Source organism: Homo sapiens, chromosome 1 (genome assembly GCF_000001405.40).
Source record: "Homo sapiens chromosome 1, GRCh38.p14 Primary Assembly".
NCBI classification, from domain to species: Eukaryota; Metazoa; Chordata; class Mammalia; order Primates; family Hominidae; genus Homo; species Homo sapiens.
The window spans coordinates 227,730,525-227,746,558 of NC_000001.11; the positions used below are offsets into that span (position 1 = coordinate 227,730,525).

At 56.2% G+C, this 16,034-nt stretch overlaps 2 protein-coding genes across 17 annotated transcripts in view, besides 5 other annotated features; one reads left to right on the forward strand and one right to left on the reverse strand.

Moving 5' to 3' along the window:
* SNAP47 (synaptosome associated protein 47) overlaps nt 1–16,034 on the forward strand; it is a 53,059-nt gene that overhangs the window by 2,357 nt on the left and 34,668 nt on the right. For 4 of the 14 annotated variants that reach the window (NR_136655.2, NR_136656.2, NR_136657.2 and 1 more), the window contains exon 1: nt 4,911–4,975. The exons of 2 other annotated variants lie outside the window; for them this stretch is intronic. Coding sequence is in view for 4 of the 12 variants with exons in the window: in XM_047444119.1 (XP_047300075.1) it covers nt 4,886–4,975 (90 nt within the window). In the remaining 8 variants the exon portion in view is untranslated. Of the gene's footprint in view, nt 1–1,060; nt 4,976–5,170; nt 5,207–5,653; nt 5,964–8,681; nt 8,779–16,034 lie in introns of those variants that run through there. 8 more of the 14 variants (NM_001323933.2, NM_001323932.2, NM_001323931.2 and 5 more) reach the window with 7 other exon arrangements.
* Nucleotides 667–4,778, reverse strand: JMJD4 (jumonji domain containing 4). Of its 3 annotated transcripts, none has more exons than NM_001161465.2 (6): nt 4,488–4,778; nt 4,127–4,292; nt 3,383–3,508; nt 2,890–3,157; nt 2,405–2,503; nt 667–2,152 (listed from the first exon to the last, which is right to left on the reverse strand). In NM_001161465.2, exons 1-6 carry the CDS (start codon nt 4,747–4,749, stop codon nt 1,868–1,870), a joined length of 1,206 nt encoding a protein of 401 aa, NP_001154937.2. In that variant the 5' UTR covers nt 4,750–4,778; the 3' UTR covers nt 667–1,867. The 3 variants fall into 3 exon arrangements, with proteins under 3 accessions (NP_001154937.2, NP_075383.3, XP_011542564.2); NM_023007.3 differs by having other exon boundaries at nt 2,357–2,503; XM_011544262.4 differs by lacking the exon at nt 2,405–2,503.
* Nucleotides 4,300–4,499: a silencer, noted in NCBI's record as "silent region_1899". NCBI's record gives its function as "represses an Ori minimal core promoter by ATAC-STARR-seq in GM12878 lymphoblastoid cells {active_cell/tissue: GM12878}" and the evidence as "EXISTENCE:reporter gene assay evidence [ECO:0000049][PMID:35858748]".
* Nucleotides 4,960–5,249: a silencer, noted in NCBI's record as "silent region_1900". NCBI's record gives its function as "represses an Ori minimal core promoter by ATAC-STARR-seq in GM12878 lymphoblastoid cells {active_cell/tissue: GM12878}" and the evidence as "EXISTENCE:reporter gene assay evidence [ECO:0000049][PMID:35858748]".
* Nucleotides 10,170–10,715: an enhancer, noted in NCBI's record as "H3K4me1 hESC enhancer chr1:227928395-227928940 (GRCh37/hg19 assembly coordinates)". NCBI's record gives its function as "activates a minimal SCP1, AML or CMV promoter by ChIP-STARR-seq in primed H9 embryonic stem cells {active_cell/tissue: H9 hESC(primed)}" and the evidence as "EXISTENCE:reporter gene assay evidence [ECO:0000049][PMID:30033119]".
* Nucleotides 10,716–11,260: an enhancer, noted in NCBI's record as "H3K4me1 hESC enhancer chr1:227928941-227929485 (GRCh37/hg19 assembly coordinates)". NCBI's record gives its function as "activates a minimal SCP1, AML or CMV promoter by ChIP-STARR-seq in primed H9 embryonic stem cells {active_cell/tissue: H9 hESC(primed)}" and the evidence as "EXISTENCE:reporter gene assay evidence [ECO:0000049][PMID:30033119]".
* Nucleotides 11,248–11,451: a silencer, noted in NCBI's record as "fragment chr1:227929473-227929676 (GRCh37/hg19 assembly coordinates)". NCBI's record gives its function as "represses an EF-1alpha promoter that drives an FKBP-Casp9 reporter gene in an ReSE screen in K562 erythroleukemia cells {active_cell/tissue: K562}" and the evidence as "EXISTENCE:reporter gene assay evidence [ECO:0000049][PMID:32094911]".

Sequence of the window (16,034 nt, forward strand, 5' to 3'; positions counted from 1 at the left end):
TGGAGGGCTCTATCTCCCCCCACAGAGCTTCTGGCATTTGCTGTTTTTGCTGCATCTGTAACAGCCCCAGCCTGAGATTCTCAATGCCTGCTTTAACCAAGAAAAAGTGACTGAGGCTAGCAGGGCTCTCGGGAGCGTCTGTGCACTGCCTCCTGACTGCGGAAGCATGAGGGTCTTCACATACAGTTCAGGAGCGCAGGACCAAGCAGCCTGGATGGTAATGGGCTGCGACCTGTGCTACCTTGTGCTGCCAGTTCGCACTGGGCCCTGGCTGCCCTGGGGTCCACAGTGCTGCCCTCATCATGACAGAAGCTGAAGGACAGGTCACCTCAGCTGCCTGCTGGCAGTGTCCGAGGCACATACCCCCACTCTTGGCCTCAGGTGTGCCTGTGTGGCAGGGTGCCAAGAGGCCCAAGCTCAGAGGTTACCGGAGGGGCTAAATGGGTGAGCCACGCCCACACTCAGCCTGGGCCTGGTCCTGGCAAGGCTGCAGCCGTGCATGTTTGCTACCTCCCCCTCCTCCCCGACAAAGCACCTTTGCTGCCCGTGGTTTGGGCAGCGCCAGCTCCATCTGTAGGAGGCCGGATGTCTCAGGGCATTCCCGTACAGACCAGGGGTCCCCGGGAGCTAGCAGGGGGGCCCAGCATACAGGTCCCTGGAAAGCTGTTGGCTGGAGCGCATTCATTCGACAGACACATATGAAGCACCTACTGTGTAAAGCTGCCTTTGCAAGCACTTCACATGATTCACTGAACAGAGCAGACAGAAACCCCTGCCCTTCTTGGGGGCTTCCATCCTAGACAAGTGCCAGCGGCCCCAGTTGATGCCACGGGCAGGCAATGTGCATAGCCATGGCACGTGCCGTCCCTGTGGATTCGGATGCCTCCTCCCCTGCTGGGGTGAGGCAGCCAACCAGGGGCCAACTGAAAAAATGCTGGACTCTCGGTCAAGGACAGGGCTGGGAGAGTGCCAGTCTCCACAAACTGTGGATCCACTAGAGGGTTCAGGCCTGGGGCATCCTCTGCAAGAGGATCCCACGAGAGTCCATTCCCCACCACAGGCCTCCGCTGCTCACTGCTGTGCCTTGATCGGCCTGGACGAGCCCGCCCACACCTCCATCATACCCAGTGTGAAGAGGGGCTGGGGACCCACCACTCCTGAGAACAGCATCCTTGGGAAGACCCAGCTGTGAGTGCACAGCAGGCACAGTCCCTCAGGCCCAGGTGAGGATTCAGCAGCAGATGGGATTCCACCCCATCTGTGGCCTCTCCAGCTGTCCACAGGCCCTGCAAAGGCAGGGAGGTGGCAAAGGCCAGCCCAACCCAGCCCTCCACTCTGGGTACCCAGAGGAAGGCGCAGGCCGCTGGTTCCACAGCCCATCACCTGGAGGTGATGGAGGCCAACCCCAGCCCTGCCTGGAGGCCCTGGTGAGCTTGCCCAGCACTGCTCCAACCCCTCCCTGAACCCACAGGGCAGAGCCAGGGGTGGTCCAATGGCCTGAGACGAGGGGACAGGGCTGGCCTATTAAGAGGAGCCACCAGAGAAGGCACACCAGACACAGACTCCTGTCAGCTCAGGCGTCCTGGCCTAAGGAGGCAGGGCCCCCAAAAGAGCCAGGTCCTGGCACCATCTCCGAGCTCCCAGCAGGCCTGCTGCAGGTCAGAAGGGCCACATCCCATCTTGGGTCCCTGACCTCATTGGGCCTCACCTGAAAACAGGCACCCAGGCAGTGGCCATGAACAGCCAGGCCACAAGCCTCGACAGGGGTGGGCCCCAGGTCACAGGGAGGGCGGTCTTTATTTCTGGAAGGGCCCCGGAGCAGGAGGCTGCCTCTCTTCCACCCGTCCTTCTATCCTCACGACAGGTGCTATGGGGCCGCAGCAGCATCAACAGCCTCTCTCAGCTGCTGCAGCAGCTCTTTGGGCTGTGGTGAGAACGCGCTGGTGTCCACTCTCTGGAAGTCGGGGTGCGCAACCAAGGAGGCCAGCACCTCTGTGATGCGCCCAACATCAAAGGCTGCCTGTTCGAAACCCAACCCAGCACCGTCCTCAGCGGCTGCCTCCCTCAGGACCAGGAGCCTCTTCTCAGCGATGACCTTGAGGAAGTGGTAAAACTCTTCAAAGTTGATGCCCGAGCAGGACCTCATGATGACCTGGGCAGAGGGAAGAGGCCAGTGAGCTAACACCATGGACACAGTCCAAGCTGCAAAGGACCCGACATGCGCCCAGTCCCCAAGGACGAAGAAGGGACCATTAAGACAGAGGCACTGAGAAGCTGCGCGGTGACCAAGGGAGTCTGAGCCATGCAGCCTAAAAGCCTCCCCCAGGAGGGTAGCCTCCATGCGTAGCCACCCCACCTGGCAGTGGTGGTGCCAGTCGGGCATGGAGTCCCTCCACTCGCTGACCTCCTCCTGCACGGCGCATAGCTCCTGCTGCAAGAAGCGCCACATGTTGGCCAGGTTGAAGCCATTGACCCAGTTGTGGTTGATGGAGATGGTGTCATCCTGGAAGGGGCACAGTGCAGGCAGGCCTGAGCCCATGGCAGGTGCCCCCTGACCAACCCACATCTCCTGCGCCAGGAACCCACTGTGGGGTCCAGCCCTCTGCAGCCAAGAGGGCCCTCCTGTCTCCCAGCAGGGCTTGCTCAGCAGGGAAGTGGGTGGCGGGCTCGGACCACCTCAGGCCACAGTGAACCCAGAGCAAGTAGACCCAGGGACCGGCAGTGGGTGAAACAGAGGCTAGGCCTCAGCGACACCACCTTGTGAAGGGGTCAGCCTCACCCATGAGCCACCCCATTCCAGCCCAGCTCTGGCTGGGAGAGTGGGGAGGTGGTGCTGCCGTCTTCCTGCAGGAAGGCCCCTGATAGGGGGCAGGAGAAGCAGCACATTACCAGGTTGTGCACCTGGTGGTGCCAGCCACTGGGCACAAACACCATCTCGCCCGCTTCCTGCGTGATCTCCAAGGGTGGGCCAGCAAGCTGGTTCCGTGGGTGCAGGTGTGTGTCGCAGAGTGCTGGGGAGGTCACGTCGTAGGGCAGGTTGCCGTGGCGGTCCCGCAGGGCCTCTTCCTGCCCTGGGGGGAAGAGGAGCCACTTCTTCCTCCCACAGACATTGACAGACCAGCTGAAGGAGCGGAAGATGTCAGCATGGAACGGGGACCTGCGGCAGCAAGAGCGCCTGGTTCATGCCTGTAGGGGCTGGTATGGGCTTTGCTTGGCACCCCAGAGGCCTGGTCCAACTGAAGGAGGGGTGGCCCCTTGGTCTCAAGGGATGGCACCCACTGTGAGGCCTGTGCCAAGCAGCCCCCCTCCTGCCACCCTGGGCCTCCCAGTCCGTTCTGTCACCAGGCCCCTTCGGGTTCCACTCCCACATCCGTGGCCTCACCAGCTGCCCGCAGGCCCCGCGTAGACAAAGCGGTAGTCATCCACATCCAGTGCATCCCAGAACTCATTCAGCCAGTCGGACGAGAAGTACACAGGCAGGGTGAAAACGTCCTCCACCGGAAAGTCCCTGTGAGGAGGGCGCAAGGGCACCACCGACAGCACGTGAGGCACGAGGAGACTAGGGCAGCACGAGTGGGGCAACTGAGACCAATCGGCTCCAGTGGAGCTTCCAGATGGCTGCAGCCCCCAAAGAGCCCCAGACCCTCCTCTGAGCCAGACGCTGCTGGCGGGGGAGGGGGCGGGGCAGTCTGACTACAATGGTTCTGCTTATTAGAAAGTACTGATCATGCCTATAATCCCAGTGCTTTGAGATGCTGAGGTGGATGCATCACCTGAGCTCAGGAGTTCAAGACCAGCCTGGGCAACATGGTGAAACCTAGTCTCTTTAAAAAAAAAAAAAAAAAAAAAAAAAGCCGGGAGTGGAGACGCCTTCCTGTAATCCCAGGTACTAGGGAGGCTGAGGAGATCTCTCTCAAAAAAAAAGGAAAAAAAACCATATTGACCTCCCAAAGAACAACACTTGCAGCCATGCGGAAGACAATCCAGTTTCTTTTAAACTGATTAAAGTGCCTCACGGGGAAAAATAGCTCCGTTGTGCACCCAGGGGCCACCTTCATCAGAAAGGCCTCTGGGTTCACGCAGCGCTAGGGAAGGCAGCGCCTCGGTGCGTCCCAAGCCCCATTACCTGCACAAGTGCCAGTCTTTGAGGTAGAGACAGCCCCTGGGAGAGGAGTAGCCCGCCTGTATGTACTCTTTCCAGTAGGTGATGTAGTCTCTGAGAGTCATGTGCTCTTTGGGGTTCGAGTTGTATTCCTGGACCCCACAGTTTGCAACTGGTACAACCACGTCTCCTGAAATGAAAGGCACGGTCCATGCCATCTCCCTGGGCCCCGTCCTCACTCCAAACCGTCTGCAGAGGAACTCTCCAGGGGCCACGCGCCTGGCCTCCCTCACCCTCCCTGGTGCCCCTCTCTAGGCGGGGGCCTCCCGGGCCTGGGTCCCGCCGGCCTTTCCTCCCCGCCCGGGGTCTGCGGCCGCCGCCCCACCGTAGGTCCGTAGCAGGTGGTCGAAGTCGGGCCTCCCCGCGGGCGTCACCCAGCGCCGCCGGCTGCCCCAGCCCTGCGTGAAGGCGCTGGAAAACACGCAGGGCAGGTTGGGCAGCAAGAAGCCCCGCACAAAGTCGGCGTAGGAGAAGGCGCCCGGCTCCGAGACGAAGGCTACCCGGCCCGGAGCCTGGCCGACGCCGGGGACATCGACCCCCAGGCCTCGGAAGTGGCTGTCGGCGAGGGCGCGCGTCTCGCGGTCCATCCAGCTCAGCACGGGTCGAAGGACCCTCCTCCTCACTTCCGCCGGAGCGGAAACGGTGAGGACCAGCCTCGGAACCAGAAGACGCAGGGCGCCGCGTTTCTGCCCCGCCAGCGCCTGGGGCTCCGGGCCTGCACGCATGCGCGCGGCTCGCCGCGGTCTTCACTGCGCAGGCGCCGAGCGGCCGAGGCGCCGCGGTCGGCTCTGGGACTCGTCTGGCGTCCCTCAGGTGAGCGACGGTGTTGGTCTGTTGGGCGCCCGGCCCAAGCCAAGCCGTAGCGTCCGCCCTCGGCTCAGTCCGCGCGCTGTGGCTGACACAGCCCGAGCCCTCCTTCCCGCATCCCCGGGGGGTGGGGGGTATGCGGGCTGCGCTGGGAGAGGGGCGGGGACAGAGGCGGTTCTGGGGGCGGGAGTGCGGCGGTGCGGGGGCGCCCAGGGATGATGGGACCCGGAGAGAACGGTGGGACCCAGAGGGAGAGCTGGGGGGCCCTGGGATGGTGGGATCTAGCGGAGATGGTAGGGTCCTGGAGGAGATGGTGGGGACCTGGAGAGGACGGTGGCACTTGGAGGGGATGGAGACGGGATCTGGAGGGGACGGTGGGACCTGGAGGGGATGGGGACAGTGGGGACCTGGAGAGGACGGTGGGATCTGGAGGGGATGGGTACAGTGGGGACCTGGAGAGGACGGTGGGGACCTGGAGAGGACGGTGGCACTTGGAGGAGATGGGGACATTGAGGACCTGGAGGGGACAGTGGGGATTTGGAGGGGACGGTAGCACTTGGAAGGGATGGGGACAGTGGGTTCCTGGAGGGATCAGTGGCACCTGGAGGGGACATGGGATCTAGAGAGGATGGTGGGGACCTGGAGGAAAATGGTGGGAGGGCTGGAGGGGGCAGGGTAACCTAGATGGGCGAATGGGGCCCACAGGGGACCTGGAGGGCATGGCAAGGGGCCCCAGGGGATGACGGGTGTCTGGAGAAGATGGTGGGGAATGAGGGAGGGTGTGAAATGAAGGTGTGGTGGGAGTGTGGGTAGGGATTTGGGGCTGTGTACACATGAGCAGGGCTGAAGTGGGAGGACATCGGAGTAGTGACATGAGGAGTGTTTTGCCAAACTTGCAACTGGAGTTACCCCAAAAGTGGCGGCAAGGGAGTTCCCCACACTATCCTCAGGTGGGACCAGTTGGGATACCAAAGAAAGAAGTGCTAAATGCATGGTAAGCCCAGAGCAGTTTTTTTTTTTTTTTTTTTTTTTTTTTTTTTTTTTGAGACAGTATGCAGTGGCACCATCACAGCTTACTGCAGCTTCCACCTCCTGGGCTTGATGAATTCTTTAATTCTGCTTCAGCCTCCCAAGTAGCTGGGACTACAGGCATGAGCCACTATGCCCAGCTTAGTTTTGTTTTTTTGTTTTTGTTTTTTTTTTTTTTTTTTGTAGAGACAGGGTCTCTGTGTTGCCCAAGCCGGTGTTGAACGTTTGGGCTCAAGCAATCCTTCTGCCTTGGCCTCCCTAAGTGCTGGGATTACAGGTGTGAGCCACTGCGCCAGGCCCTGCCTAGAGGTTTTGTTAGGGGAACTTTCATATAGAGTGGGCTGCGGTAGTCCTCGAGACGGGCAGTAAGGGAAAAGGGATGTCCTCCCTAGGTATGTCTCTTGGAAGGGGTGTGGGTTATGGAGTTTATAGGAAGGTTTCAGGAATTTGGCTCAGGGCCAAGGCCGTTTTCTTTGTAGTAAACCTAGATACTTTCTTCCATGCCTGGAAATGTTAAAGGCCCTGGATTGGGTTGAAGCCTGGTGGGGAAAACCTGTGGTTGGGGCACAGAGGGATCAGGGTACTCTGTGATTTTCGGCCAGGACACGAAAGTGGGGCCATGGGGGACCCTATGTGATGTATGTCTTGGTGTGCTGGAGAAATCAGCTCAAAGCTACCCACATGGATGCAGAAGGAAAGATAGCAGATTTATTGCCCCCGAAGCCTGGCAGGCTGTGTGCACATAGGTGCTCTGCGAGAGAGTGCAGAGTCTGGGCAGCATTTCCCAGGCGTCTTGACAGGGAGGTGGAAGGAGGAACAGTTAGAACCGCTCATCTCTCCCAGAGAAATGAGAGGCAGCTTGTGCTGGTTTGCACACAGTGCGAGGCCTTTGAGTTAGGTTTGGAGGTCTGATGACATTCTAGGGGCCATCAGACCATGACTGTGTCTTGTAAAATCTGGACACTGGGCTATCTCATTCCAGACCAAACAGAGGCATCCTAAGCGGGAGAGGGGCACCTGCCTTCCCTTTATGAAGCAATGGAAATGTTGTTTTATTTACTCTTATAAGTGGGGATATGGGAGGTTCTAGGAGTGCTGGGGCTCTGAGCCTTGCTGGAAGACTCTTTCCAAGGGGTGTGAGGTTTACCCAGGAGAACAGGGAGGAGCAGAAGAGGGAGGACCAAGGTCTGAGGAGTTGGAGGGAGGACTAGGAGGAAAGTGAGTTTTGGGAGTCTGAGTCCAGGTAAAGGTGGGATATGAGGGCAGGGACAGGAGGCGGAGAGTTGTTTTGGGGATTGTGTGATTCAGTGCGTGCTATGGTCCCTTCCTAGTCAGCCCTATTGTGGCTTGTGTGATCACGGTATGCAATTGTTTATTGGGGTTTTTTTTACACTAGAGAATCAGAATGTCTGGAGAAGTTACAGTTGCAGAGAAAGAATCACCTCCAGTTCCGTCCAGAGATGACTGGGGTTTTTTTGCTTTGGTTTTTTTTGGTTTTTTTGTTTTTTGTTTTTTGTTTTGTTGTTTTTGCTGTTTTGAGACCGCGTCTTATTCTGTCACCCAGGCTGGAGTGCAATGGCATGATCTTGGCTCACTGCAACCTCCGCCTCCCAGGTTCAAGTGATTCTCCTGCCTCAGCCTCCTGAGTAGCGAAGATTACAGGCGCGCACCACCACGCCCAGCTAATTTTTGTATTTTTAGTAGAGACGGGGTTTCACCATGTTGGTCAGGCTGGTCTCGAACTCCTGACCTTGTGATCTGCCCGACTCGGCCTCCCAAAGTGCTGGGATTACAGGCGTGAGCCACCGCACACCCAGCCGAGATGACCGTTTTTTATTCCTGGTGTAGAGCCGGCTTTTCTACATTCCTTCACACATACATTCATTCATTCATTCATTCTCTCTCTCCACTCTTCTCTCCCCCCAGTCCTTGCCTATACGTTCACGCACATGTATGCACACACACTCACACATACACAGTCTCTTTCTCCATCGTGTATAATATACATATATAAACTTTTGCTGCTTTTAGTCTTTTGTTTTTTATTTAACAATATGCTGTAACATCTTGCCACATATTGACCTCAATATTGACAATTAATTGACCTTAATTGATCTTGCCACATATTGTTCCTTAATTGCTAGTAGTCATTTGATTTTGGTTGTGGTGCATGCAGATCATGGGAGGCCAATGGGGAAGATGTGGGGAGCAGAGTGTTTATAATTGTCTCAAGATCTTGGAATATGGTTCCGAGTTTGCCTCATGGGGAAACTGAAATTCAGGTGGGCATTGCCTGGAAGGAGTTCCTGCAGCTCCGTGGTTGAGCCTGTTTCCTAAGAAAGGAGCATTTGGGCTAGCAGGTCCACAGCTCCCTGAGATCACTGAGCCCCTAGGACTTGGTGGGAGATGGAGCTCTCGTTCTTGAGATGGAACTCTGTGGTTTAGTTCGCTGGTCCGCAGGGTGCCCCCTCGGGTCAGTGTCACCACTGTATACGCAGGAGGCCTGGAGTGTTATCAGCTCTCATGGGACTGGAACATAGGCTTGTGTCACCCAGAGCCCGCTAGATCAGCCCTGGCATCGCTTGGGAATGGCAAGAAATCCACATTCTTGGGCCCCACACAATACTCCATTAGGATGGTTTTTTGTTTTTGTTTTAAAACGGGGTCTTCCTCTGTCACTCAGGCTGGAATGCAATAGCGCTATCTTGGCTCACTGCAACCTCTGCCTTCTGGGCTGAAGTGATCCTCCACCTCAGCCTCCCAGAGTGCTGAGATTACAGGTATGAGCCACTGTGCCTGGCCAGGACGGGTTTTAAGTCAGCACTTTGGAGAAAATGCAGTACGCTTTGTGCCGAATATGTGCTCCTCTGTCACTGTGTTGCATGCAAACAGCCCCAGTGAGGGTGTCTGCACTTTGTGGCTAGAGTTGGGAACCTCTGAGGGAGTGGAAAGAGGGTCTGAGGAGCAGGGGAGGGGAGCCTGGAAAGATTGGCCGCACCCTACCGCCCCTGTGGGCACACACAGCCACCACTGTTCTCACTTAGCTTCTTGGTTGCGAGGTAGTGGAAGGTGTGCAAGATGTTTGTTCTGTGACTGCGGAAATTAACTAAAAATAAGTTGTTTACTGGGTACTGAGCCTCACTCAGGGGACCCTTGAGTGATGGAAATGCTGAAAGAGACCCATTGTACAGATCGCCCTGCGTGCTGAGCCATCCCTGTGCTGCAGACTTCCTCCCCAAGAGCGTCACTTGTGTGGGTTGGCTGCAGACACCCTTGGGCCCCTGGCCATGACCTCCCTCGAGGATTCAGCTGTGTGTTCTCAGGGTCAGCGCGGGTCCCCAGGCCCACACCTGCACTGGAGGAAGGAGGTTGCAGATTGCAACAGGCAGGGACACCGTGAGGGCTCCAGGACCTGGACTGATTGCAGAACTATGTGGTACAGGAGGGCATAGGCACAGCTCTGTTTCCATGTGGTGTGGTTGTGGTCAACTCAGCACAAATTCATTGGGTGCCCATGGTGTGTAGCGGGCCTTGCGGCCCTCCCATGATAGTGCCTTCTGTAGTGCGACAGTCATGAAAGCACCAACTCTCTGGAGTTTTGCTTGGGCCATGGTTGGTGACAGTGCCTTAGGAAGGCGAGGAAGCCCTCCGAACAGAGACCTGCGGAGTGGAGCCACCAATGAGACTCCCTGGTGTGGAAAGGCTGCTGGGAGCAGAGGGCAGGGGAAGGCCAGGGCAGGGAGGCCGCAGGTCCTGCAGAGTCCATGAGGCTGCGGTAAGGAACTTGGATCTCATTCCAAGTACACAGGGAAAGGCTTTGGGCAGAGAAGTGACATATTCTAATTCTGTTCAATGACTATCTCATTGACTGCTGGAGGGGGAATGGGTGATGGGGACAGGATGAGGTCAGGAGGTTGCCTGAGATGTTGTCCAGGTGTGGAGGGAGGGAGGACTGCCTTGGATGGTGGAACTGTGGAAAGTAACTAAAAGTAGATTGTTTCCTGGAGATTGAGTCTCATTCAGGGGGCACACATATAATGGAAAGACTGAGAGAGACCCATTGTACAGATTGCAGTGTGTGATGAGTGAGTCCCTGTGACTACAACACCTTCCCCCAAGTGTGTTGCTTGTGCTGGTTGGCCCAGACAATGCCTGTGCCAGGTCAGTGATGTGGTCTTGGGGTGGAGGGTGGGGACACAGCTGCCAGGACATGCTCATGGCATGTTTCTTGAGGGGGAGGAAGAGAGGAGTCAGAAGTCCTGGGCCCGTGGTGACTTTACTGAGAGAGGAACTGACTCTGGTGCTGCTACACTGGGGTGCCCATTAGGGGTGGGAGGAGGTGCCCAGCAGGTGATAGGGGAGGAGCTGAAAGCTGAAGGAGGGGCTGTGAAGTTGGGGTGCCCGTTAGGGGTGGGGGCAGATGCCCAGCGGGTGACAGGAGGGGCTGTGAAATTGGGGTGCCTGTTAGGGTCAGGGACAGATGCCCAGCGGGTGATAGGGGAGGGCCTGTGAAGTTGGGTTGCCCGTTAGGGATGGGGGCAGATACCCAGCAGGTGATAGGGGAGGAGCTGATGGAAGGAATGTGAAGTTCAAGTGCCTGTTAGGGGTGGGGGCAGATCAGCGAGTGATCAGATGTCCAAGTTTGAAGCGTGAGGGAGTCTGGCTGGAGTGGGTGTTTGGGAGGCAACGGCTTGGGGGTGATGTTGAGTTTCTGGCCTGTGTTGTCTCACCTGGAAAAAGAGGGTGCAAGGAGGAGAGGTTGTGCCCTGTGCAGTCAGGTGCATGAGGAGGCTATGGCCAAGGAGAGTGGACGCAGGCACTCATGGAAGTGGGGCTGGAGACCTGGAGAGGGTAGTGGCCAGGGAGCCAGGGTGCAGTGACTCTCAGCAAGGCCCCTTGGCTCATGGGCCAGGTCCAGCTACCACATTTTTGTAAGTGAGGTCCTGTGGGGTGGCACACCCCATGTTGATGTCTTGTGTGTGGCCACTTTCATTCCACCCCAGCAGAGCTGTGTAGTGGTGACGGAGACCATGCGTGGTCCTTCACGGAGAGTGCAGTGCCTGGCATGGGAGGGCCGGAGAGGTCTGGGGGCTGAGAGAGAGAGGGTGGGATCAGGGCCCCGGGAGGAGGGTCTGGCCTTGGAGGTGAAAAGGGACCACGTTCTCCTGTGGCCTCTGTGTGGGGCCAGGCGTGTCGTCGGGTAGGGGAATGGCTGGCCGGCGTGGGGGCCGTGTTCAAGATTGGGCTGCTTCTGATGTTCCATGGGGTGTCTTCACTTCCGTCCTTGCACTGCATCTCCGTTGACTAAGGTTTTCTGGGAAAGAAGCCCTGGAAACCTGCAGTTGGAAAAGGGTGGCTACAAGTTTCTCTTCTTGCTTCTTCCTGGGCTGTTGTCAAACTTGAATACTTTCCTTATATTTATTGTTTAAAATGTGATAATGAGAAGAGCCTTGGTTATTCATGTCCTAATTTTTTGGTCTTTTTTTTCTTTTTTTTCTTTTTTTATTTTATTTTATTATTATTATACTTTAAGTTTTAGGGTACGTGTGCACAATGTGCAGGTTAGTTACATATGTATACATGTGCCATGCTGGTGTGCTGCACCCACTAACTCGTCATTTAGCATTAGGTATATCTCCTAATGCTATCCCTCCCCCCTGCCCCTAGCCCACAACAGTCCCCAGAGTGTGATGTTCTCCTTCCTGTGTCCATGTGTTCTCATTGTTCAATTAGACGGAATTTCACTCTGTTGCCCAGGCTGGAGTGCAGTGGTACAATCACGACTCACTGCAGCCTGGACCTCCCAGGCTCAAGTGATCCTCCTACCTCAGCCTCCTGAGTAGCTGGGACCACAGGTGCACACCAGCATGCCCAGCTTTCTTTTTGAATTTGAAAGATTTTAGAGCTGGTGACCTTAGGTCTTTTAGTTATTTTGACGGTGGGTAAAAAGGTCCAGAAGGTGAGGTGATGTTTCCAGAGCTGTAAACTGTGCTGCAACACCAGTAACAGGACTTCTCCGGGGAGGTTGTGCATAATTTCCCTCCACACTCCTGAAATACCTCCCAACCATGCCTGCTTAGCAATGGTTAGCACACATTCACTGTCCACACCGTGTCTAGCTCTCTGTATAGAGGTGGTGGTGGTGAGGCGTGGTCCCTCCCCTCGAAGGCCAGGTATGGCTGAGGTCTGGGCAGCCTCTTCAGCCAGGAGCATGGGCACAGCAACTCCAGGGCTGAGCAGGGAGGGCCACAGCCCCTCCTGTGGGTACTGGCTTGCCTGACTTTGAGGAGCATGACTGAGTTGGTGTAGTTTATCCTCCTCCTAATTCTGAGAAGCAGACATCTTTGTGTCCCCATAGTCCAGAGCCTGCTGGGTGGCCTTGCAGCTGCTGTGGCAGAACGGCATCATGGGTCCTGTGTGTGGCCTGCCGACCCTCGCCATGGCCCTGGTGGGGAGTGGGTGGCCCTGGAGGGGGTGGGTCCTGTGTATGGCCCACTGGGCCCTTGCTGTGACCCTGGGGGTGTAGCTAGGTTGACCATGGTACTGAAGGTCTTGGCGCCCTCTTCTGTGTCTCCTGAGGGGCCATGTGGGGTGCTCAGGTGAGTATTCCCCGGTTGCAGAGGAAGGTGCAGTGAGATACCTGCTGCCTAGGGCTCCCTCTGGCCTCCTCCTGGTGGTGAGAGATGGTGTCGCCTAGGAAGGGCGGCTCTGGCCCACCCACGGATCTGCTTGGCCTTGGTGTGTGCTGCAAACCCACCTGTCAGGCCCTCCCCAGAAGAGGAGGCCAGCCTTAAATCTCCTAGAGCCTTCCTGGGCAGGGAGAGTGCGAGGTGCTTTGTGTTTGTTGATGTTGGGGTTCCCTGCAGTCTGGCTGAGACAGGTTCTCACAAGGCCTCCCGTGGGCTCCGGCCTCCCATGGGCTCCAGCCTCCCTGAGCCCCGCCTCTCCTCTGTGACTGGGTGCTGTAGTCACTGCTGGCCTCGGCCCCTTGCTGCCTCTGCATTGCGTGTTCGAGACTACAGAAGGCTCACCTTCCCGGCAGTCCCAGGCCTTGCAGGCTCTTCTAGAAGGTTCTCTGACACCTGCTCCCTTCACTGCTCAGTGGCAGTCACAGGCCGTGTCATCGTTGCTGGTCTTTGAATGTCACTATCTGTCTGCTCCCCTGGACCTCCCTTGGTGCCTGGACTGTGTCCTTTGTCTCCTTAGATACCCATACCCTAAGAGCTGCTTTCTTGGAGTTGGGAGACGGGGTCAGCCAAGGTGCCCTGGGTTCCTTGAGCTTTCACCACAATAAGCTGTCTACAGCATCCCTCGAACCCTGACATTTTTATTATTTGTAAGTCTCGTATCTTATTGTGTGTTGATGATAGAATTCTCTTACTTAATATAGCAGCTTCCTTTTCAGCTTCTCCTAATCTCAGGTACAGCCGACCTTCAGTACCTGTGGTTTGGTCCCAGGACCTCCTGCAGACGCCGAGGTCCCTGGTGTGAAGTGGCGTGGTATCACGTGTCCTCTCTGTGCGTCCTGCCATCAGCCTTATGTCATCTCTGTCACTTACAAGCCTGCCACGGTGGCGTGCTGTGGTTGGTGCTGTGTTGCTTAGGGAATAAAGACAGGAAAAACAGTCTGTGTATGTTCAGTGCAGGGACAGCTTTTTTTTTTTTTTTTTAGTATTTTTTGACCTGTGGGTTGTTGAATCCACGGATGTGGAGCCCAAGGATGTGGCGGGCTGGCTGTACTGGTGATTAGTGATCAGTTCACACGAGCAATGAGAGCTGGTGATCTGGACTGATCTACAGAGTGGACACCAACAGCTGATTGGCATGTATGCATGTCTGGGAAATTCAGTCCTGACCTTTCTACGGAGATTTAAGAGGAATACTGGGAGGTATTTGTGGAATACTTAAGCCACATCAGCGTAGAAGTTAAATTCATTGTGCTGTGAAGGAGTCGGGTCATTTCGCTTTAATGTGGCCCCTTACTTTTGTATATATTGAGCACATTGCAAGTGAAGTTTCCTCCCCCTCCTCTCTTCCCCTTCTCCCTCCCTCCCCCTCCTCTCCTTCCTCCTCATCCTTCTGTGTGTGAGCTTTTGTGGTTAGGTGTTGTCTATGGCCAGCTCTGTTCAGATACTAAAAACAGAGAGACCAATGGCAGATCCTGGGTGTGGCAACGCCCTGGCAGTCATGAAACAGGTGGATTCAAGAAAACGGCAGGCCCTAGGCGCTCCTGCCTGCCAGGCCAAGCTAGTGCTTGTGGGTGCTCCTGGGTGCTCCCAGGGATAGTCCTGCCTCGGGGAGTGGCTGTGCTGTGCCAAGCACCTGGGAGCGCCCTGCTGACCTCATGAGGCTGTGGGGCCACACAACTGTCAGCCCCACTCAGGGATAGGGGCAGGAGGGAGGGGCTCGCTCACTTGCCTGAGCCCACAGCCTTGGGTGGAGCTGGTTGCCCTGACTCTGCACCTGTATTGTCGGTGAGAGGAAGCGTGCCAGGATCTGTGTGGCCTGTGTGGCTGTGCTCTTCTCCCTGGGCTTTTGCCTGAGGCAGTGGTTTCAAATGCTCTTGGAATTGTAGCACCCAGCTGAAATTTAGTTCTGGTACACCTGTCATGCATGCGTTTATTAATTTTAATGTGATTTTCTATTGTTTGTTATAAACATCCAATAAACCTTTAATTGAACCATTATGTACAGAAATACCAACGAATCAAAACAGAGCATGCAAAATCACAAGTGCACCCAGGGCAAGGGGTGGACAGAAGCAGCCCCACAGAGGCCCCTGCAGGGCCTTCCCCTCTCCCCAGGTGCAGCCATCTTCCTGACCTCCTAATGTTGAACTTTTCATATGCTTACTTTCCAAACGAAATAAAATTTGTAGAAAGTCTTGATGTCCCCGAATAGAAACATCTTAGGGTGTTGTGAGCTGAGAGCGGGTGTGTGGCATTTGCTGCCTAAATACTTAGTGGCATCAGAGAGCAGTCTGGTGTGAAGGACCCACACCCCAGAATAGAGTGGCCTTGCAGATGTCATACACATCACCCAGGGGCTACATGGGTCTGAGACGGCTTCTACCTTCCTGTAGGAGGCCCCAGCCTTGATGGTCTCAGCTGTCTCGGCACAGCGGGCTTCCTGTCTGCCTGGGTCCCAGGTGGATGCTACACACATGGTGGATCAGTGTCACAGCTGGAGAGCCCCGGGTTCAGGAACTCCCCCATGCTGTAATGGGCATGTCAGCAAGACAAGCCTGCTTACCTCTGCCCCCAGAGGAGACGGCATCCTTAGTACCCGGCTCACATCCTCTCTCTGGCCAAGAGGGAGAAACCAGTCGCAGCCCCAGGCTGCTCGCCACGCAGGCATTCTGGAAAACAGTCTGGGCCAAAGCTGCCACGGACACTCAGGGATGTGAGGAGAGGTGCATCCCATCCACATCCACCCAGTCTCATCCTGTCTAGGCTTCCAGCGGGATTTCTCATTGATTAGCCTGGCTGGGACCAAATCTGTCCAGTCACAGGGCATTCAGTCAAGGCTGCCACCTCAGCCATGCCCCAGGGGCCCAGCTGCACAGACATCTGAAAGCCCCAAACATCCATCCCATTCACTCAGTGACAGGTTGTTGCCAAGGAGGGTAATTAATGAAATGGGGCCCTTCCCCTCTCATGACTTCCAGCCAGATGAGCAGGCGGCACCCTCCATGTGCTGAGTGCCATGCCCCAGAAGGAGGACAGGTGTGGGAGAAGGTGGGTGGGGCTCCATCTGTGGCCACATGGGTATTCTGTGGACTGGGGACCTAGCCAGGCAGCCCCCACAGTCCAGCCACACCTCCTTCCCTGCAGTGGTTGCACACCCTGTGGTCTGCGTGTGACGACATATTGTGCGTTCTCAGATGGCTGTGTCCTCATACAATTAAGGTCCCATTTGATGCAAGCTCTTCCAATGCAGGTGTGGCTTTTCAGTGTGTCTTGTCTAGACTTGTGTTGGGGGCATGGTGTCCAGTGCAGCAGTTACATGAAAGACCTGGCTCTTAAGAGTGTAACTG